General features: G+C 36.6%; 2 long non-coding RNA genes across 2 annotated transcripts in view; one reads left to right on the top strand and one right to left on the bottom strand.

Annotated features, from left to right (window-relative positions):
- Positions 1-6,552: 6,552 nt before the first annotated feature.
- On the bottom strand, positions 6,553-22,188 carry LINC01653 (long intergenic non-protein coding RNA 1653). The gene is made up of 4 exons (NR_110794.1): positions 21,096-22,188; positions 19,440-19,559; positions 14,431-14,538; positions 6,553-6,959 (listed from the first exon to the last, which is right to left on the bottom strand). It is a non-coding gene; the product is annotated as a long intergenic non-protein coding RNA 1653 (long non-coding RNA).
- Positions 16,766-23,614, top strand: part of LOC105372922 (uncharacterized) — a 132,858-nt gene continuing 126,009 nt past the window's right edge. The window contains exons 1-4 of the long non-coding RNA XR_001738466.2: positions 16,766-16,878; positions 17,179-17,262; positions 17,437-17,531; positions 18,625-18,749. This is a non-coding gene — a long non-coding RNA (uncharacterized LOC105372922). The remainder of the gene's footprint in view (positions 16,879-17,178; positions 17,263-17,436; positions 17,532-18,624; positions 18,750-23,614) is intronic.

Raw genomic sequence — 23,614 nt, 5'->3', positions numbered from 1 at the left:
ATGGAGAAAAAACCCTTAATTTGACTCCTTTAGTATATAAATAACTGCAGGAGAGAAGTATCACAACACACAATTGCATGGGGAAAGCGTATTTGAATCATTGGGATAAGATAGATTTCATTAATAAGACTCAGAGTCAAAACTGGCATTACATAAACAGAAATACAATTCCACTTTCCATGCCAGCAAACTTTGTCGTATAAGCTGGTTGTGTGTCTCACATTTTCAAAATTCTGACGTGTTCTATTTCTGAAGAAAACCGTGGGTTCTGCCTTTCCACTGAAAGCATTTATCTTCTCCCCATTTGGGTTGCTCGTGATTTGGTTAAGTCTTGCATAGCTTGAAAATCTAACATTTTTGCTTCACTTTAGATAATATTTCTGGATGTTTGGATCAGGATGTCAAAATTCCCTTTATTCCATTCTCCAAGTTCTAGCTTTAATTCCTTTATCATGCTGCAGTTCATGCTTATTAGGTTTCCCTTGGACCTTTATTCAAAAGGTAATACATCAGATACACAATGTGCCAAGCTTCTTTGCATACTGAAAACAAATGTATGCTTTGGTGTTTGGAACAAGATATAATACATACATACACAAACATATTTGAAATCTAAGTGTCTACTTCAGGCCTTCCTTTAAAGGAAAGCAGAAAGTAGATCACGGTGGGGATAGAGATGGGGTGGGGGCAGATAATTGAACTTTCCAAGATCAGTACTTAACATAAAAATTTCATCACAATCTTTATCATCTTGCAGTGGTTGCAGAAAAGGCCTAGGCTCCCTCCACCTTTAACTTCCTAAAGTCGCCTATTTTACCTTCAAATCTGATGAAGTGTCAAAGTCATTTACCAGTAATGAGTTCTGCTGCAAATTTTATTTTGCTTGGAATTTAATTAATGGGCCAAAGACTTTCCATTGTGATTTGAGCAAATGAATAATAAATCAAGAAAGGAGATTTGTCAAGGAAGGAACATCTGTTTCTTACAAGCGTTACAACATGACTACAGCTTGGCTGTGCATTACCAGCACAAAGACAGTAGGAGTCCTCTCCGGTGGAGCTCTCTTCATTTATTGCTCCACTGAAGGTGAACAGAGAGCACTCTAATGGGCCTCTGGTGTTAATAAAAGCTTTGCGCTTCTCCAGTTTGGCTGTAGCCTCTTCCTTTAGGGTGCTACTGTCCTTAGTACATGGTTTGTTGAGCCACGTCAGGATTCTGCAGCGTCAGTACTTTATTGGATGATTAATAAGGGAAAGACAAATTCATAAGCAGAAACAATATGAAATTACCATCATATTAGTGTTCACTGTCATGCTTTTTATTTTGGGGGGTTTGTAAATGAGATCGTGATTGAAGTTAAGTACTTTGACTTGCACTGTCAAAAAGCAAAAATAGGTCACCCGAACTGTTGGGCTTTGTCTAGTTAACCAATAACAGACTATCTATAGGAGTGTGACTTTTGTAATAGTGCCAGAGCATGTGGTCGATGGTTAAAAAGAGGAGAAGAATTAGTCTATCCACCAAGGTCTGCTCTGGTTGGGGAAAAAGAGAGACACAGTAGTGCTTTCTCTGCTATTTATTGCTGGAACACACTTTGCTCCTATAGACAAAGGAGGTTTAAGCGCCCACCAGGTAGGAATAAATCGCCTTATGAAAATTTGCACTGCAGGGTTCATGATGACCCTTGTGTAATGTTTATAATGTATGCAGAACAGTAATGGGCGCTAATGTCATGCAGAAATAACACCGGGTCCTACATGTTACCCTTTTTAAAAAACCTTTTTTTGAAGGCTGGTAAGATGATAAGAAGAATTTCCAATTTTATGATTTTTTAATATGTCTCTGGAATACACCTTAGAGGAATGTTTCCCTGATGAACCGAGTATTTCCCATCATTAGAATAATGTGCAGCCCCCCAAACAGTTCTTTCCAGCATCCTGCACAACGCTGCTCTGTTTGATATGGCATCCTTCATGCAATTTCTGTCTGAAATAGCTCTATAGAGTGAAAGTAAAAAATAGATCTATCAGCTGTGGGAGAGAAAGACAACATGAAAACAGAGAAAGGGGTTATTTTGGACAGGATTTAGTAAGTACTGAGTCAACAAGATGGGTTGGGATTGCTCCCATTTTTCAATGTCTGGGAATCAAGAATATAAATCTATCTCGAAAACCAGCATACTGAAAACCCTATTAACAGTTTCCCCCACTCGTTCCTTTTCAACATAAAAGAGTAAAATTTTAATTCATCCCAGGAAAGCATTGCCACATAAAATACAAAACGTTCTGTTAAATTTAAGTAAATAGCTGATTTTGTTTTTAGTATAAGTATGTCCCATATATTGCATGAGACATCCTTGTACTAAAAAATATTCATTGTCTATCCAAAATTCAAATGTAACCAGGCAATCTGTATTTTATGTGCTAAATCTGGCTACCTTACTCCAGGGACATTTCATATTATAAACATCAAAATTTCAAATGACCAACACATTATCTTCTGATTGCAGTGACTTAAAACATTAAGACTGGTTTGATTGCTAAGATTTTAAAAATAATTATTGAATTTGAATAAATAATTTTGAGATACATTTGAAAGTCAAATATCTATTATATAATTTAGAGATTAATGTAAATTATATATTAAAGTAAATTGTATAATACCATTATATGTTACTTTAAATATTCATATATATGAATTATATATTATATATAATATGATATATAAAATCATATTATATATGATATATAAAATCATATTTTATATATTATATATTATGTATTATACATATGAATCTCTAAAGTAAATTGTATAATAGATATTTGAAAATACTTTGTCCACTCTCACACTTCATGCCAGTCTTATTCAAACTCTTCCTCACATCTTTGACATCAGTGTCTTTATCACCACTGAGCCTCATTTGTCATCACAATTTTACAGTGGCTTCCCTTGCACTTTCTTCTTAGCTGTTTGAGATATAACACCTTTACATTTATATATGGTAGTGGCACTAAAAATATTATCCCAAGCCATGATGCCTATTCATATTATATTTGGATAGATTTTGGTTTTCTGTTCATCACAAATGCACATTTGTGTTTTTCACAGCATGACTGTTCATGGTGTTGTTTTAAAGTGATCTCTAAAAGACTTGATTACAATGGCAGCCAATACTTGTAACTGTACTCTCAGAATAACTACTAACCTGTGTTATATTTCTTAATATTTGTTTTTTCTTAAGCCAGTTCTAGCAACAATATTAACTGGTGATTTAGGGCTGTTCAGTTTTTTTCCCCAAATGATATGTTACTTTTGAAAATGAAGTAATTGAGAGTAAACCCCTTGGATATAAGAAAGTTCCTAGGGCCTCAAATATAAGGTGAACCACTGTTTTCTGAGGAATAATTTTTGGAACATCTCTTGCCTTGTAATTGGGCATATGACAGAACTGTGCCCATCACAAGAACTTGCCCATGTATTTTGCAATCGGAAGTTATCAAGGTCGCTTCTGGAGCTAACTGACAGTCCTTTTGAGCCTCATAGATATAGCTCTTCCCCTTTTTTTTTCTGAGTCACAGGAAACAAGGAAGACCTTCTTATTTGGATGTATATGTAGTGGGACCTCGGAAACTGGGAATTCATCTAGGCATGGTCAGGAACAAAACAATTAATCAAGGTAAAGGGAACAGAGTTATAAGCATATTATACTTCTGTGACTCCATCTTCCTTAATTGTCTAGGTAAATTATATATTTAAGTGAGGGTAAGAGTTCTTGTATTTTATTTTATATTTGAACATTTGATATTAATTAAATGATCAAGCTCATGTGGTATATTAGTCACCAAATTCTGGACATTAACCTTTGGTTTAGTGTAATTAAACTGTGTGTGTCTGCATACCATGAGCATCTAGACACAGGTACTTATGGCATGGCTTTTTTAAAAAGCATTATAAAGGAAATTTACTTCTCAAATGTAAACCCAGCTTTAGTTTCATATTCCTAAGGCTAAAATGAATTTATTGGACTACTCTTTAAAAGTAATTCAGATTCTTTAATTCCTAAGAAACTAGCAACTCTCAGGGCTATACAATATAAAGTTGCAGAAGCAGGTACCATACTCTATAGAAAACAGCTGCCCCAAAAATGCATGTTGAATGAATTAACTGAGAAGTTAAAAAAAAAGACTGAAATGATTTTTTGCTTCAAGAAACACTTCCCCACCTACCCTCAAATTGATTACATAGAAATATAGTGAAGGTAGCTGTTTTATGTCAATATTCTCACACAATCATCAAAGTTGATCAATTCTCCTCAGTCTGTCCTATCTTGTTTCTATCTCAGTCTGCCTGTGTGAACCTACCCTTAAAATCAGTCTAGACTTTCCATATTTGAAAATGGAGGACTTAAATACCATAATTGATGATGTCATTTTCAATGTGATGCCACTGAAACAGCTCACTCATAAAACGCCTCATTTCTACTTAGTCTTTGCCACGGGATAGTGCCCTAGAGGGACATATCAGAGTCACCTGAGGAACTTTTTCCAACCTCCTCCCTTTACCTAGAGCTGAACAGGCCCCTCTCCCCTTGAGAATTATTCTAACTGATGGGGGGGGGGGGGGTGGGTGTTGTAACCCTCAGGTGGGTTGGGGTAGAAAATAATTTGAAAGCAACCAATCAAATGAAAAGCCAAACATCTGGCCAATTATTAGCTATTTTCCATTATGTTGATGTAGATGTTATGTGAGCAAACATTCAGATAACAGAATTTTCTCCAGAATCCAGTACTTGTCATCATATAAATGCTGCTTTAGGCTCAATGGATTCTGTGGGATAATATATTTGTTTTCTTTTCTACAGACACACAGAAATGTTAACAGCCTAACAGTGTTTTTTAATTTTTATTTTTTAATTTTCTGAGAGAGTTCAAATGTGGTAGGCAGTAAAAGTTTTTCCCGTGTTCTGAAAACATTTTTTTAATGAACCTCTAACAATTATGAAGAAATTTCTGTTCATGAAACAGAGTCTTTACATAAGAGGATATGATTTGCATGCAATTCTACCAATCAAAATCACATTGCCTAACTTGTTTAGTCATCTGGGCAGAATTATGGCCATCCTTCACACTTTAAATTGGTAAGACTTGCCAATTTCCTGTGTCTTGGCCATCAGAGTTCCAAGATTTCATTCAAATTAGTACATTCAGAAAGTATTTGTCACTGAACTCCCACCCTCTCGAGACAGGAACAGCCAGCTACACGTTGGCCTCACTCAAGAGGGTAAAGACTGTGCCTGGCCGGGAGATGCTTTAATTAGGTAATGAGGTGGTGTTCAGCCCCTCTCTCTAAAACAAGGGTGGTTACATTTTAGATTACTCGTCTTGTTTATTTCATTATGGATTCAGATCAATTTGTCTGAATTCAATACAATACACATACATAATTTTTATGTTTGATTTCAACAAAATAACCATTTATAGAGGGAGGATGAGATTGAGTCTGTGAAAGAAGTTCTCTATATATGATGGCAAAATTTGGTCTAATAGAATATTCAGCTGTTGACCAAGTCATTTTTGTAAAGCTCATCTTTGATGGGAATTATAACTGTACGAACAGAGAAACAATTCTCTGTCTGACAGGAGATCCAAGCACAGTGTGATGTTTACTAAGATTTTCCCAATCAGTCATGGCAGTCTGATTCCAGACCACACCTACTGTGAGAAGGGGAAATGTTTGAAACTTCAGTCTGCATGTTCGCATCTAATGGTGAGGAAGGGAATACAGTCATTTAAAGAGCTGGGGGCAGAGGGAAGGAGGGCAGATAGACCTATACTTATGGATGAATTAAGAAATCCTTCCCTGCTTTTCCAAAGTAGCAAGAGTTACTACATTCCAGCCCCTTTTCTCCTCATCAGAGAATTTACACTTACTTGCTTTCTGTTTGCTTGTAACACTCTCCCTGCACCGTCTTCTATCCTTAACTTCTATGGCTGGTTTCTTCTCATTATTTAGGTCTTAGCTTACACTCCAGTGGATAGGCCATTGCTCCCAGATAGATGCAGTCTCTCTTCAACCAACTACCCCCTCACAATTGCTGCTACTACATCCTGATAATTTCTTTTGTTATATTTGCCACTTAAATATCTTCTCTTCCAGGTGTTCCATTCTATTCCCTTTACCTGAAACCACTAATGTCTGGTATATTTCAGAATTTAGATTAGTATTTTTTTTTTTTGAGACGGAGTCTCGCTCTGTCACCCAGGCTAGAGTGCAGTGGTGCAATCTCAGCTCACTGCTAGATTAGTATTTTTAAAAATAAAAGGTATTTAAATATATATATATATTTAGATTTAATTTACATTAATATTTACATTTTTAAATGTATTCATTTAAAACAACAAAAATCTAAATTCTAAAAATATGAATGACATAACCACATGTACAATATGACATGGTACATCATTATTTTAAAGAGCCTGGCACAGTACCTTGTAATCAAGCACATTAATATTTCTGTATAGTAAAACATACAAATATTCCCACCAAATGGGATGGATAGACAAATAAATAATGCTTTATTTTAATACAAATTAGGTTTTACTGCTAAAGGGGTTAAAAAAATACTTTTCAGAGTCTTTGTGATATCAAAATAATTGATGAGGGATGATGACTTGTCTATATGTATTTGTTTATTCGTTCATAGTCTGTGACCACACTAGCCTATAACTTTCATCAGGGCAGGGACCAGCCTATTTGTTCATCACGTACCTGGCTCTGTTCCTGGTTATGACAGGCATTCAAAAGACATTTATTAGATGAATGATTAATTTTTTCCCCAAATGAGTCTTGGCTTGTTCTTTGTGCTCACATGAAATACTGTAGCCATGATTAAATGTCACCTGTAGACTTCCACAGAAATCATCCCATCTATTTGTTGTCTTGCCACAGAATGCACAGAACTGGAATATATGTCAATAGAAACCAATTTATCTTCATTTTGGCAGTAGGAGGTATTAGTACCCATCCTTGTCTTTTGTACCCAAACAACTACAATCAGAATTCAAAATGGCAATATTCAAGTAAGGGAGTTATCCCCTGTATCATCAAAGAAACGTTGAGTAGTATTACTTTAATGTTATTCTTTTTTAAAATTAGCAGTCCTTAAATAATATAAAGGGCATTGTTCAGAATGTTCATGTATAAGTTAGGTTCTTGAAATGTAGAAATATTTTTTCAAGGAAAGAGAAAAGAGTTGGAAAGGGAAACTGAGTAAAAGAGAAAATAAATTTGTGAAAATGTTAGCCTTGGTGAATCTAGGTAAAAGGTAAGGTATATGCAGCTCCACTGTACTGTTTATTCCTTTAACTATTCTGTAACTTTCTAATGTTCCAAAATTAAAGGTTGGAGGGCCGCTGTGGTGGCTCATGCTTGTAATCCCAGCACTTTGGGAAGACGAGGCAGGCGGATCACAAGGTAAAGAGATCGAGACCGTCCTGGCCAACATGATGAAACCCTGTCTTTACTAAAAATACAAAAATTAGCTGGGCGTGGTGGTATGTGCCTGTAAGTCCAGCTACTTGGGAGGCTGAGGAAGGAGAATCACTTGAACCTGGGAGGCAGAAGTTGCAGTGAGCCGAGATCAGGCCATTGTACTCCAGTCAGGTGACAGAGCAAGACTCTGTCTCAAAAAAAAAAAAAAAAAAAAAAGTTGGGGACTATATACAATAGAATCAAACACAATAGAGTAATTAGAAATAAATTATAAACTTAACAAAGAAATGTAAGAGTAGTAAACTGAAAACTATAAGACATTGTTGAAAGAAATTAAAGATCCGAATAAGTGGACTAATATTCTATGTTTCTGATTGAAAGACTTAAAATTGTTACTATTGCAAACAATACTCCCCAAATTGATTTACAGATTCAATGCAATACCTGTCAAAATTTTAAAATTTGCAGGAGTCCCAGAGTAGCCAAAATGATCTTGAAATGGAAGAACAAAGTTGGAGGATTCTCACTTCCTGATTTTAAACTTATGTAAAGCTACAGTGATAAAGACAGCGTGATATTTGCAAAAGAATAGACACGTAGATCAATGGAATAAAAGCAAAAGTCCAGAAATTAACCCATAGATCTATGGTTATCTGGTTTTCAACAAGGATGCCACGATCACTCAATGGTGAAAGCATAGTCTTCACCAAATGATGCTGGGACAACTGGATATTCATTTGCAAAAGAATAAACTTGAATCCCTACTTTCTATCATGTGTAAAAATTAACTCTAAATGCATCAAAAACTTAAATGTAAGCTAAAGGTATAAAACTCCGAAGAAAACATGAGTATAAATCTTCATGACCTTGGAATAGACAATGGTTTCTTAGATATGACACCAAAAGCACAAGCAACCAAAGAAAAAGTATATATATTGGACTTCCTCAAAATTGAAAATGATTATGCATCAAAAGACAATACCAAGAAAGTGAAACAACAACCCACAGAATGGGAAAAAATATGTGTAAATCATATACCTAATAAAGTTCTGGTATTCAGAATATATAAAGATTTCTTACAACTCAACAACAAAAAGACAAACAGGCAACTGAAAAATGGACAACAGATTTAAACAGATATTTCTCCAAAGAAGATACACAAATGGCCAACAAGCACATGAAAAGGTGCTTAACATTGTTAGTCATTAGGGAAATGTATATTAATGTCACAATGAGATACCACTTCATACCCACAAGGATGGCTAAAATCTTTTTTTAAAAAAAGGAAAATAAGAAGTGTTAGTGAGGATGTGAAAAAATTGGAAACCACATACATTGCTAGTGGGAATGTAAAATAGTGAAGATGCCATGAAAAACAGTCTGGTAGTTTCTTAAAAACTTAAACATAGGCTTCTCATATGACCCAGTAATTTCACTCCTAGGCAAATATCCAAGAAAAGTGAAAACATATGTTTATGAAAAAAGTTGTACACAAATTGTTGATAACGGCATTATTCAAGATGGCTACGAAGTGGAAACAACCCAAATGTTCCTCAGCTGATGAATGGAGAAGCAAATTGTGGTATATCCTTATAATGAAATGTTATTTGCCCATAAAAGTAAGTAAAATACTGATTTGTGTTATAATATGGACGAATCTTGAACATGTACTAAGTGAAAGAAACTAGGTTCAAAAGGCCACTTACTGTATGATTTCATTTATATAAAATGTCCATAATTGGCAGATCAATAGAGACAGAAAGTGGATGAGTGCTTTCCAAAGGCTGGGGGTGGTTTGAGGGTGGGGAGCGGCTGCTAATAGGTACGGGGTTTCTTTTGGGGGGTGATAAAAGGGTTCCAAGTATCCAAGATTAGATAAATTGTGGTGATGGTTGTGCAACCCTAAAGTATACTAAAAACTACTTAAGAGTAGAAATGAAACTTCAGAAACTTTAAAGAGTGTTGAGAGGCTGGGTGCAGTGGCTAACGCCTGTAATCCCAGAACTTTGGGAGGCTGAGGTGGGTGGATTGCTTCAGCCAGAAGTTTGAGAACATCCTAGGCAACATGCAAAACCCTATCTTCACAAAACAAAAAAATACAAAAATTAGCCAGGCGTGGTGGCGCCTGGTCCCAGCTATTTGAGAAGCTAAGGTGGGAGGATCACTGGAGCCTGGGAGGTGAAGGCTGCAATAAGCTGAGATGGCACCACTGCATTTCAGACTGGGCAACAGAGTGACACCCTGTCTCAGGAAATAAATAAATAAATAAACAAATAAAGATGAGGGAGAAAAGCCTGAAAGAGTAGTGTAAAATGCAAAGCATAATGACATAGATATAAAACAAAATAAGAGGGCAGACACAGAGAATGAAGAATGAATACTCCTACCAAGTATTATAAATATGCATCTTCCTAGGAGTTAGGATCCTATACTGTGCCTCAATTGTTAGGAATAACTTTGCTTATTAAGCTTCTGAAATCAATGAAGGAAGCAACAACTCTTTCTTGTCCACCACTATGTCCACCCTGCCCTAACACAGGGTATGATGATACATAATAGGTACTCAACAAACAATTGTATAATTAACAAATTAACTAATTATATTCCAGAGGGATAGATCAGAAAGATAGAACTAATCACAGTTATAATAGAAAACAATTCCAAGCTCAATAAATACCAATCTAAAATTGTAAGGGATGTTTAAAATCTAGGTAATTTTGATTTCTTTTAATCAAACTATCATATTTCCTAGTATACCCATATACTAGGAAAAATTTTGAATTTTAAGAATAATTGCAATAATAACTGTAAGCATCCAAATAGAAAAGCTAGGTTTCCATAAAGAAACTGGCTTCAGACTTCTCTTCTACCACATTCAATGACAAAAGATGATAGGGAAACAGATTGCCACTTACGAATTAAATAGCAAGCCAACTTATCACTCATGTGCTAAGCCAAAAAGGCTCTCAGCTTAAGAAGGGCTCAAAAATATGCCACTTTTATACCTTGTCTAAGAAGAAATACCATAAAGATAAACTCAAGCAAAATGAAAAATGAATTAAAGCATCAGAATGGTATAACATAAATGAATGGTGATTAAACAGAGCTAATGCATTATTACAATAAACAATAAGTAGAGGCCTGGTGCAGGTCATGGGAGGATCACTTGAGCCCAGGAGTTCGAGACCAGCCTGGACAGCATAGTGAGATCCTGTCTCTACAAAAAAAAAATTTCAAAATCTCCAGGGTGCAGTGGCACACTTCTGTAGTCCCAGCTACTTGGGAGGCTGAGGTGGAAGGAGTGCTTGAGCCTAGGAGGTTTAGTCTGCAGTGAGCTATGGTGACATCACTGCACTCCAGCCTGGGCGACAGAGCAAGACTCTTTTTAAAAACAAAAAAATGAAAACAAAACAAAAAAACCCCAGTAATTATAAGTATCGTTAACAAATTTAATGCAAATATCCAGAAATGTTTACTGAGAGAGATGATACTAGACTAGAATGTTTCTGAAGGTTTTTCATGTTATGGCAGAGAAAATTCTGTTTCTACAACACACTGGCATAAATGGATGAGCCTGCCAGCAGCCGCAGGCCCCACTGAGTAGCTCTGTTAGCTGAGGGAGTCAACATCCGGGCACACCTGTAGCCAGCGTACCCATTGTACATAGATTTAGATTTAGCTCTCACCGAGTTGGAAAACCAATGGAGTTTTTAATAACAAGTAAATGGTAGGAGAAAAAAATCACAAAACAAATCTGAATAAAAAGTATGCTTTCAATTTGGCTATAATTTACATAATTGGCATACACACATTCACAGGAATGTTAATATATTATCTAGGTGGTAGGAGAGATTTTTTAAAATACTTTTCCTTATTTTCCAAATAGTCTACAAAGAGTTTTTTAATAATCCCCAAAATAGTACACATTTTTCATAGTTTCCAAAATAAAACCCAATAAGGGTTTTAAAAACAAAAGCTGTCTTGGCACTAAATACTGACAGATTAATGAAACAGAATAGCCTTGGGTGTGTGATACTAATTCTAATATGTATGTGTGAGTACAAATAAAAATGTGTAAATATATAAATAAAAGAAATAAGACTCCAAATATGAGCTGGGTGTGATGGCTGGTGGTTATCAGCCCAGCTACTTAGGAGGATACAGTGAGAGGATATCTTGATCCTTTGAGCCCAGAAGCTTGAGACTAGGCTGGGCAGCACAGTGAGGCCCCAGCTAAAAAAAGAAAAAAGAAAAGAAAAAGAAGCCAAATACATAACTATGTTAATAGACATGGTGTTTGCAATGTGATATATCCATTAATTTAAATAAGGGGTATTATAATAATTATTATTTTATCTATAATATCATTAGTCATTATAATTTCCAAATGTACCTTAACTTCTTGTTTTTTTTTTTTTTTTTTTTTTGGAGATGGAGCCTTACTCTGTTGCGCAGGCTGGAATGCAGTGGCGTGATCTTGGCTCACTGCAACCTTCACCTCCCAGGTTCAAGTGATTCTCCTGCCTCAGTCTCCCAGGTAGCTGGGATTACAGGCACCTGCCACCACTTCCAGCTAATTTTTGTATTTTTAGTAGAGACAGGGTTTCACCATATTGCTCAGGCTGGTCTCAAACTCCTGGCCTCAAGTGATCTACCCTCCTTGGCCTCCTAAATTTCTGGGATTACAGGTGTGAACCACGCTCCTGGCCGTACCTTAACTTGTTTTTTTGTTTTGTTTTTGTTTTTATTGCTGTGTTGCCCAGGGTGGACTCGACCTCCTGGGCTTAAGCAATCCTCCTGCCTCAGCTCCCCCTACTTTCAGCATTTCAGCTTTTCTTGGCATTTGCCTTTGTAATTATGTCTGAAAGTCATCCCCCAACTTTCCCCACTTCCCAGGCAGCTAGTCTGTGGAACTAAGTGTCTTAGTATTGAACTCCTCAGCTGCTCATTTAATGTATTTTCCTTAGAAAAGTTACTGTCTGCTTCTCATTGATCCTAATGGGTGCATCTTCTGTCTCATTCTGTCCTAATTCACTATTTAATTTGCTCAGCTTTAATTTTTGTTATTCTCTGAGCAGCAGGAGAAAAAGCAGCTCTGTAGTTATGAGAATTCTGTAGAACTAATGTCTGGCTGTACCAATGAGGGATTTATATATTTTTGAATCACTCCTGCTTGTGTCTCCTCTTCTGCATTATGAAGGGTAATTTAACCAGCAGCCACAACAGACAAACTGACATCTTGGTGGCTGAACATACTAAAAGTTGTATGTTACAGTCTCATACTGCACTTCCTCATTTCTTTTTCTTTTCTTTTTTTTTTTTTGAGATGGGGTCTCGCTCTGTCGCCAGGCTGGAGTGCAGTGGTGTAATCTTGGCTGACTGCAAACTCTGCCTTCCGGGTGCAAGCGATTCTCCTGCCTCAGCCTCCCAAGTAGCTGGGACTACAGGCTCATGCCACCACCCCCAGCAAATTTTTGTATTTTTAGTAGAGACGGGGTTTCACCATGTTGGCCAGGATAGTCTCAAACTCTTGACCTCGTGATCCGCCCACGTCGGCCTCCCAAAGTGCTGGGGTTACAGGTGTGAGGCACGCGCCCGGCCCTTCCTCATTTCTTAGCTACACAATCTGATGCTTGTGGCCCCAAGGTTACTGAGGAAAGGAAAGAGAGAGCTGAGACTCAACAAAATGTTTTTAGGGCCAGACCTGGAAGTGACTTATGTAATATCTGTCCACACTTCATTAGCTACAATTTAGCCCACAGCAACTTAACTGCATGGCAATCTGGGAAATGTAGTTTTGCTGCGTGTCCTACGTGATGCCTGACTTTGTCAGCTTCTTGTGATGCTGTCTCCACATTTTCTTTCTTTCAGCCTAACAAAATATTGAATGCATGTCAAAATGCTTTTTGTCACTAGTGTTATAGGACAGGGTAGCTCAAATATTTGCTGTGATTATGAACAATAATCCAGCTATCTTGATTTCATACTCTAATACATTAGACAACATGTAAAGTGAAAACAAAATGTTTATATTATATATATATATATATATATATATATATATTTGCTTTTGCAAACCTATGTAATTATTGGCACTTTGGGACTTATTGGCAAATATTTCTAACTGATTATGTTAAATTTCCTAACCCAACATTTGAGGTGAGAAGGCCACAGGCCTCCTATTCAGTGCACAGACCTCCTATGCAGCAGGAACTCAATAAACATTAGTGGATTATATAAATCCACTTTGTCATCTACTTTGGGAAGGTGGTAGTTGAGGCAGAAAGAAAGAAGCTTTTGGATTCCTGGTGTCTTCTGTGCCGTTCATTCTCTTGACCACTGGGGCAGAATGTAAGTTTAAATGTATCTACTTTGTGTCTCTTCCCTCCTTTCTCTCTCCTTTATTTTTTTTTTCTCCAAGCCCAAATGTAGGTATGATGGGATAAGGGGCAGTAAATAGCTTAGCAAGGGCAGGCAGAGGGGTTTGGAGGAAAGAATAAAGAGGGCACCTACACATTCACATAACTAAATTCATAAATTATAGACTCAAAGCTGAGAGTTGAGCTATTTTTTAGGTATTATAGGAAGTAGGAACAATGTCAATTTCACATTTTGCCAGTATCTGAGATGGTGAAAGCATTGCTCTTCTGTTTTTAGTTGACACCAGATTGACAATGTTCTAATTCCTTAGAAGTCAGGCCGTTTTTCTCTTTATTTTTAATGTCTTGTAGAAATAAGAGAACAATTCATGAAAAAACAGCAATAAAGAACAATTTATTGGCTGGGCGCAGTGGCTCATGCCTATAATCCCAGCACTTTGTGGGGTGGAGGTGGGAGGATCCCTTGAGCCTGGGAGTTCAAGACCAGCCTGGGTAACATAGTGGGACCCTGTCTCTAAAAAATATTATTAAAAAATTAGCTAGGTATGGTGGTGCACACCTGTGGTCCCAGCTACTTGAGAGGCTGAGGTGGGAAGATTGCTTGAGCCTGGGAGGTTGAGGCTGCAGTGAGCTGTGATCATGACACTGTACTCCAGCCCGCGTGACTCTGTCTCAAAAAAAAAAAAAAAAAAGAAAGAGAGAGAACAATATATTCAAATTTTCAATGTCTCCTTTCTGAGTAATTGCAAATATATATTTCACATATATGCAGACTGGAAGCCATTAATAGAATTTCACTGGTAAACCTAAACATTCCCAATGTAAGGTTTCATAGAAAACATCAAAACCACTCTGTTCCACTTTGGGTTCCCAGCCAAAATTAATTAGGGTCTCATCAAGAGAAGCACTCACCTTGACTTTCAATGAGCCATAGATAAATAATGAACTAAGTTTCAGTTGACAGTAAAAGGGCTTTGCTTAAAGGGAAAAGAAGGTTTAATACTTGGTTTGGGGACAGCCACCTACAGTGTGTCTCTGTAGTTTTTTTTTATTTTCTCTTAATATCTCTCTGTAAAGCTTCATCATCGCCCTCTGACATGTCAAAAGAGAACACGGGCCAAAAACATAACTATGTTTAGATAAAGAGAAGTTTGGGGTTGCATTTCGCCTTTGAGAACAATGTTATATGAGACAACCAATCTTTTATAACAAACCATCCCTAGAGGCCACTGTGGGAAACAAGCACTGGGAAGAATGAGCTATGGGTCTGGATCATTTGGCACTGGGATTTCGATCACAGAATCATCTTTTTTCCTCTGACCTCCAGATGCCAGTTCTCATCTCCCCATTATATGTATTTCATTGTACCTCATGCATGGACTTTGATTTGAGCTTAGAACAGTTCCTGTTGAGACACCTTTTAATTATAGTGCGAAACATTTATTCAGGCAAGGAAGTCTTTACTGCAGTTTTCATACTTCACAAAACTGAGCTAAAACTTATCTGTTTGGATGAAAACTTAAGCAGTGGGCAAGAAACATTGATTCTCCAGGCCAAGACCACGTAAGACAGATATTCTTGATCTGAGTGAGAAGTTTGTGGGTTTGGAGTTATTATTTCTCTTTCAACCATGTCCTATTTGGAAGAGGATAACAATGCCCAACAGATCTTTTGTTTAGGGCTTCTTATATATAGTAAAATACTGTAATTTAACAGCTTGCTGGGGGAACAAGAATTTGTTCCAGTTCCTGATTTAAATGTTTATGCTAATTGCTATTTATTGGCCCAGATGCAAATGATAGGTTGGCCAAAGTGAAATTTTATGACGAGCAAACTCCCCCGTTTTGTGCAAATTGAAAAAGTGAAACAAGAGGAGGATGAAATGAGCCGAAGATGGTCTTAATGGCTGCTTTTTAATGGGGAAGATAAAATTAAGACTGATTTACGTGGCCAACTCCCCTGTTTTCTCTTATCAGCTCATTTGGCAGGAAAAATGGAAAAGTAATTGTTCCTCTTTCAATGTGGGCCTCAAACCATTATTTATTGGCTGAAATTAATCGCTGTTTATCCTTCATTCACGTGGAAACCGCTCTATCAGCATTATGAACCCCAGCAACTCAACTAGTCCCTTGCAATTTTGTCGACAGCAAGCTTGGATCCTGATGAGGCGTGCCTTAATTTTCTGGGCTGTGGGAGTTAATGAAGACTCCTTTCTGAGGTGGACATATTTGTATTTCTACAACATTAATAACAAAGACCCACACTTTCTCTTTGGCAGCAAATAAACTTTTTTTTTTTTTTAAAAAAAAGAGGAAAAATTATTGAAAGGACAGTGCTTGGGGGAAAAACAGAAATAGGATCATGAAACCGATTTGTTTTCACTTCAAGCACATCTAAAACATGAAGAGCTGTGTAGACACTCAAGGGGCTGCACATGGACTAAAGTGCTTGGGAATGCCCTGCAAATTGGAAAAGGGGAATGGAGATACTGCTAAGCCACACATTCAAGAAGAATCACTTCTTAGTTCTTTTTTGCTTCCACTTTGCCTCTTCTTAACACTGCTTGATGCATGCAATTGACAGCCTGTGATTTTTATGGGGCAGAGATTTCTGGATTGCTTCCTGCTCATCCTCAGGGGACCATCTGGAACTGACAGTCTGTCCTCCAGACTCATATCTTCCTCTTTCCAATCAACCAGTCAATCATCAAGCATTTATGCACACCTTATGTGCCCAATAGGCCTCCTTTGCTGTGGAAGAAGCACTGAGAGCCAGAGTGCCCTCCACATTCACCAGAAGCACAGCTAAGTGTCAAGGCTCAGGTTACATCTTAGGAAGCATTTATGGGGAGGAGACAAGCAGGTTGTAATCGCAGGCTTTTCAGAGACATGTCCAGTCTCTCTGTGAGTTTCTTTGGATCTCATCTCTGGCATTTTCCTGCTAAAATCCAACCTTTCTACCCTTGCCTGACTGACTCTACTCTAAGGCTTTTGATCTAGAAGAATAGGTGAGTAAATGTTTTCATCAGTCCGCAATTTCCGTAATCAAAACTTAAATTATGTGCTTTACCACATAGTAGCTTAACAGATGCCTTGAGCATGGATTCACACTTGAAATTTTTTTACTTGACTTTTATTTATTTTTTTCAGAATGAAAAACATATTTTCTTCAACTTTGTAATGATTTTTGTCTTTAGTTAACCTTTTAGTGATGTGTGATGTTTTATCTTATTTTTAAAGTTATTTATTCATTCTTTTATCCAACAAGTATTTAAATAACCACATATTGTATGTCACACATTATTTAGGTATCTGAGGATAGAGCAGTGAACCAAAGAGACAAAAGTCCCTGCCTCTATGGAGCTACATTCCAGTTGACTGCTATAATGATGGTAAGTTCCTATGTTCTTAAATTCTCTGTGTTCCTAATTCTGAATAGCCAGATGCTAGTCCATTTATATATGAAATGGTTTACTTAGCAGTACATGAATTTTCTATTTTAAACAATGCAATGATGAACATCTTTTATGCACACTTGTTTTCTTCATGTCTGATCATTTCCTCAGGCTCTCCAGAATTGTTGTGGTCTGCTTTCAAGTTCTGAGCCTAGCTGCATGCCAGAATCACACCATCTGAGGCTTAATGAATCAGCATCTCCAAGGTAAGTTCCAGGTATATGTATTTCTGATTCTTAGCGAAAGTTTAGAATATTATCTTATTATGATTCTACAATGTCACTTTGATTCTGTTTTTAATTGCATATTAATTATATTTATATTATATATAATATTTATTATATTTATAATCCCAAGTTTCTCTGGGTTTTAAGAATAATTTACTGTAATAAAACCATACCAACTGACCAGTTCCCATAGGGGCTGGGCTCAGTCTTTATTATTATGCCATATTCATATTTTAAATGAAATGCTACCCAAAGAATGAAATATACTTTGCAAGTGAAAAGAGAAAAAACAATGATTTGTGTTTATCACAACAGTTCTTAACCTCCCTTAAGAAGAGTTTTCTCAAGTCGTATTGAAAAATTGATTTTATAATCCATATTATAGATTTTTATATACTGATGCTGTCTTTCAGCTATTTCTTTTTACTCTCCATTAGCACTTTACTGTCTTAAAAAAGAAGCAAAAAAAAATCTTACTAATTCATAGAACATTAAAAAATCCTATTTCTAGATAAGAGTCCCTCTAGTTGACTGAAAAACACAAGGTAACTCAAGATTTTGGTCGGGGGGCAGTGGTGGTAATAAGTTTGTGTGAGGACGGAGAGGTTTGTATGTCTGGTGAGAGGTCTAGAGAGATTTGGAATCTAGCACCTTAGAAATCTTTCTTTTTTTAAAAAAAATTGTACCCTGACTTTTTTAATGAGGTGCCTTTGTATTAAAAATAAAAAGCAGAGATAAAATAATCATTTGATTTAGATATTTTAAAGTATGAATATCATTCAAAACTTTGAGGACCATACAGCAATTGGTCACTAAATTCAGTTTTAAGCCTCCTAGAAGCCAAGGCAAAAAAGGGAAATCTATACTTCTTATTGGTCTAATGAAGTATATAAGATCATTCAGGAAAGCATCCTTTCCTCTGGGAGGTTTTTAAAGATACAGTCAAAAAACTTGAAAATATGATGGATGTATGTTCTGAGGATCAGAGTTATTTCAAAAACCTTTCAAGACTTTCTATTCCTTTCTGCTTCTTACTCTTAATCACTTCTCTTGTTTTGTCTTTATTATTTAGCATTTTGTAGATTGGCAAAAGTGCCGCTATCAAAGACAGGTAGAATGACTCCTGTCTCTAGCTGCTTTCCTGGCACTTGAGCTATGCAGTGATAATACAAGTTGGGAGGACTCAACAGAAGCCAGGTATGTCTAACTTCACATCAACTGTATTAGCTTTTTTCTAATTACATTATCAAATTCCATTAGACAAGGGTCAGGAATTAACATTTTTGGCATTAAATGTTTTTTATATTATTTGTATGATTTAAATTATTAAAATGACATAGATTGTTCTTAGCCACTTGCTATTATTCTCATTTGTCTTCATTGCTATGAGACCACTTTAGTAATTTACAGTTGACCCCTTAATGCAGCTGTATGAATTATTGACTATTCTTTAGCTTTCTGCTACAGTGTTTTCTAGAGAAACTTTTGATCGTGAACACACCCTGCTATTATAGTTTGCAGAACATAGAAATATTTGTGCTTTTTTTGTCTTTACAAAACATTATACATTCTCTCGGTAAACATATTCAACCATTAGAAAGGTAGAAAGTAGAAAGGAATATTCCCTGCTTCTCAATTTCTGTTTTCAAAGACATTTTGCTTGAAGGTTTATTATTTTAGGCTTTCAAAAGCAGTATTAGTGTTTCAGAAAAAAAGCAACATTTTTTTTTACCAGTAACAATTTAAAATTTTTATTTACTTAACATATACTTATCACTTGCCATGTTACAAATTCAAGTTCTATATACTTACATTGTTCTAAGTGTGTTAAAAATCATTAGTTATTGTAAAACTATAAAACTAAGACACGGAGGTTTAGCCACTTGCCTTAGGTAGGAGGTTTAGTCACTTGCCACAGCTAGGAAGTGGTAGAGTCAGAATTTGAATCTAGGCAGCTCCGCCTCTAAGACTTCTGTCTACCAAGCTCTTGATTCCTATACAACATCCCTTATCAACAAAAGAAAAAATTCATCTTTGGGATTTTTCAGACATAATAACATTTTCATAGTTTAAATCTTTATACATCTTCCCTTAATACGTGCAGTTTTTAGAGTTACCATGGTTTCTTTATCCTTCTAAGGTTGCCAGATAAAATAGAAGATACCAGGCTGGGTGTGGTGGCTCACACCTATGATCCCAGCAATTTGGGAAGCTGAGGCAGGTGGATCACTTGAGGTCCGGCCAACATGGTGAAACCCCATCTCTACTAAAAATAAAAAAGTGAGCCGGTCGTGGTGGCGTGCTCCTGTAATCCCAGCTACTCAGTAGGCTGTGGCATGAGAACTGCTTGAACCTGGGAGGTGGAGGTTGCAGTGAGCCGAGATCGCACCACTGCACTCCAGCCTGGGCGACAGAGCGAGACTCCATCTAAAAAAAAAAGTGGGGGGAAAGAAAATATATATATATATACACACACACAAACACACACACACACATATATGATACCTAGTTAAATTTGACTTTCTTATAAACAAATAACTTTTTAGTATAAGCATGTCCCAAGTATTGCATATTTAACCAGTATCCTGTATTTTTCTTTGCTAAATTTGATAGCCTTATCTCTTTCCCCTTGTCTTGAAACTTCTCAAAGTCAATATATTTACTTTCTGACCACCATTCTCTCTGTAATAGGACTCTTGTTAACCCTATTTTCTCAAAATAGTCCATGACCTTGTCTCACTTCCCATATTCTCAGAACTCTTGGCCACCTTGTATAATTTTGATAGTGTAACTACATAATTTAACATCAAAATTAGATATTTTTATGCTGGGACTGTAGGTGAAACAGAAATTGTCTAAGGAATATCAAGACTTAGGGTGGAACTAAATGTTGAGCACCTTATCCTTCTTAAAACTTATTTTTTTCTTGGTTTCTAATGTATGTTACCCTGTTTTTTGCACTTTTAACCAATTACACACTCAAATCCTCTTTACTGGCTTTGTTTTTTCTTTACTTCCTACCTATCAAATGCAGGTATTATATTTGTGATTTTCTCCCAGATTTATATATCTAGACTTGAATGCTTTCTCGAATATATTTCCAACTATCCTCTAGCCATATTTCTGTTATGTCTCCCAGACATTGCAAGTTACATGTAGATAGATAGATACAGAATCATAATATATAACATTTATGTAATGCTTACTTATGCCTCACATATACTGACTTATTTTATTTTCACATCTCTATTATTATACCTATTTTACAGAAGCTGAGGCACAAAGAGGCTTAAGTTACACTTTCAAGGTCACAAAGATAGCTAATGGAATTGCCAAGATTTGTCCCTTAGTACTGGAGAACTTCCCAGGAGCTTTCCATCTGCTGGGTCCAGGTGCCACTTCTCAGAGTCAGACAGATCTTCCATATTCGCTTTCTTTCTTGCACCAAGTCACAGAACCTCAGCCAGAACTTCCTTCTCCTTATGCTAGCTGCCACCGCTACATAGCTCCACTCCTACACCCCTTTCCCCACCCCCAACTCACCCTGGATGGCGAAGGAGGCACAATTTCTCCTGTGAGCTCTTCCATGCTCTCCAGTACAAACAAGCACAAACATAATCTGGGGGAAGGAAGTGGTGCAAATTATAACAAGAGATTGCAAAAATAAACACTTGGGGAAATACAATTATTCAAAGTTTCAACACTCATGATCTGCCCTATAATTTTTACATGTCTTCTGATACAGTAACTAACGAGAAGTCTAGTAGAAATTAGCACTTTTTTTTTTTTTGAGATGGGGGTTTCCCTCTATCACCCAGGCTGGACAGCAGTGTTATGATCAGGGCTCACTGCAGCCTTGACCTCCCTGGCTCAAGCTATCCTCCCACCTCAGCTTCCTGAATAGCTGAGACTGCAGGTGTGCGCCACCATGCCTGGCTAATTTTTAAATTTTTTGTAGAGACAGTCTTATCATGTTGTGCAAGCTGGTCTCAAACTCCTGGGCTCAAGTGACCCTCCTGCCTCGAACTCAGTGGAGAGATTACAGGTGTAAGCCACTGCACCCAGCCTGAATTATAAATTTTAAATGGATGATTTACAAAATAGCACAAGGCAATTTCTGGAGATATGGATATATTTAATGGATATATTTAACCTTTGGTTATGGCGATGGCATCATGGGCGCATGCATATGTCTTAACTCATGATGATGTATACCTTAAATGTGTGCCATTTTTTATATCAATCATACCTCAGTAAAACTAAAAAATAAAATGGGTGATTTGTCCCTCAATAAAGCTGCCCTAAAAAGTAAAAGTACACAATCTTCATGATACTGATCTAAGTTTCTCACATTCTTCATAATTCAGAGTCTGCCCTTTTTTCCTGAAAGCAGCTGTTGTTGTTGATGTTTATCCACGTTACTTGAATGGATCACTACTCGTTTATTTTAAAATGATGATTGAGCATCTAATATGTGCCAGGCCACGTTCTAGATATGGAGGAAGAGTGTAGCGATGAACTGCAGAGCGTTCAGGAAGTTACCGTTTCATCGCGGAAGACATAAGCTAAAGAAGTAAACAAAGGAAACACAAGTGTTCCCTGCCTGTGGGGAAAGGAAGGGCCCTGCTGCCCACCTGCAGCCGACCCTCTGTTCAGCCAATTCACCTTCTAAGCGTCATTTTCTTCATCTGTGACGTGGCAATCATTATCTTTGTTTTGCTTGCCACACAGGATTTTTTAAAAGAATCAAGTGAAATAAGTGCTGTGAAAAGTCCTCAAACTGTAAGAAATATGAAATTTAACGTTAAAAGAAGGTTTGTGTATATTCAAGGAAAAGAAATCTTATGTTTAAATGGAAAATGTAAACAGACACATGAAATGTCCATGAATCTGGGGAAGAGTTTCCTCAGTCACATTCCTCCAACACTTGTGTGCATTTTTAGTACAGTAACGATGCTTAAGATTGTGTAACTGAATATCGCATCAGAACAATCAAGGTTACCCTTCAAAGCAGTTATAGAATTATCTTCTCCTAACTAAATATAGGTACCTTAACAAACAGAAGGGCTTCCCCATGAGCCAAATGAAATGGCCTTTATATTTGAGATACTCGCTTACTTAAAAAATAAAAAAGGAAGCAATTTGCTAAATTTGCAGCTTTTCCTTCCTAGAACTTTGAGTTAAAATACTTGCAAGGAAAGATTTTTCACATGATGTATATTTAGAAATAAGAAAAAGAATTAAGTAAAAGGTAAATTTGTTATTGGTGAAAGGAGAGGGTTTGCATAGAGTTTTATATTCTATCTCTTGGGTATGTTTAATCTTCTGAATTTTAAAAACGATTACCTTGTATCTACCTTTTCTCTTTCTTGATTCCTTTATTTAACCTTTGAATTTAGTAAAAAGTAGTCTCTGTTTTATTATAGTTATAAAGATTAAAGCTGATCTTTACATTTTCCTTTTTTAAATTCAAAACTTTGGTCATTTTTCTTTTTTAATAAAGATGGTTATATAAAATTGATCCACCTACAAATGATGTAGGAATTTCAGGGTCTTATTGAGATTAGTCTCTATTTATTAATTATAAGGTGCATTAATTACACTCTAAATGATAATTAGCCTATTCGCTAATCTATTGCTTATTTTCTATTGGTTTCATACTTGGCTTTCTGCAACTGGTATTTAAGTTAGAAATTTTGTTTGAAAACTAACTTTAGTAGTGAAATTTCCTACATTACTAGACATTAACAAAATATCATAAACTGGGTGGTTTATAAACAACAGAAATTTATCTCTCACAGTTCTGGAGGCTAGGAAGTTTAAAGATCAAGGAACCAGCAGATTTGGTGCCTAGTGAGGATCATGCTCCTAGACTACCATCTTTTTGCTATGACTGCATAGTGGAAGCAGGGAGGGGTCTCTCTGGGGTCTCTCCTTTATAAGGGCACTAATCCCATTCACGAGGGCAGAAAGGACTTAGGCTCTATCTCCTAATGTCCTCACTTTGGGGTTAGGAGTTCAACATATGAATTTTGGGGGGAAACAAACATTGAGATTATAGC

Source organism: Homo sapiens, chromosome 1 (assembly GCF_000001405.40).
Source record: "Homo sapiens chromosome 1, GRCh38.p14 Primary Assembly".
Classification (NCBI taxonomy): domain Eukaryota; kingdom Metazoa; phylum Chordata; class Mammalia; order Primates; family Hominidae; genus Homo; species Homo sapiens.
Note: the sequence above shows the minus strand (reverse complement) of the source record. Positions and strands in the feature narration are given on the sequence as shown.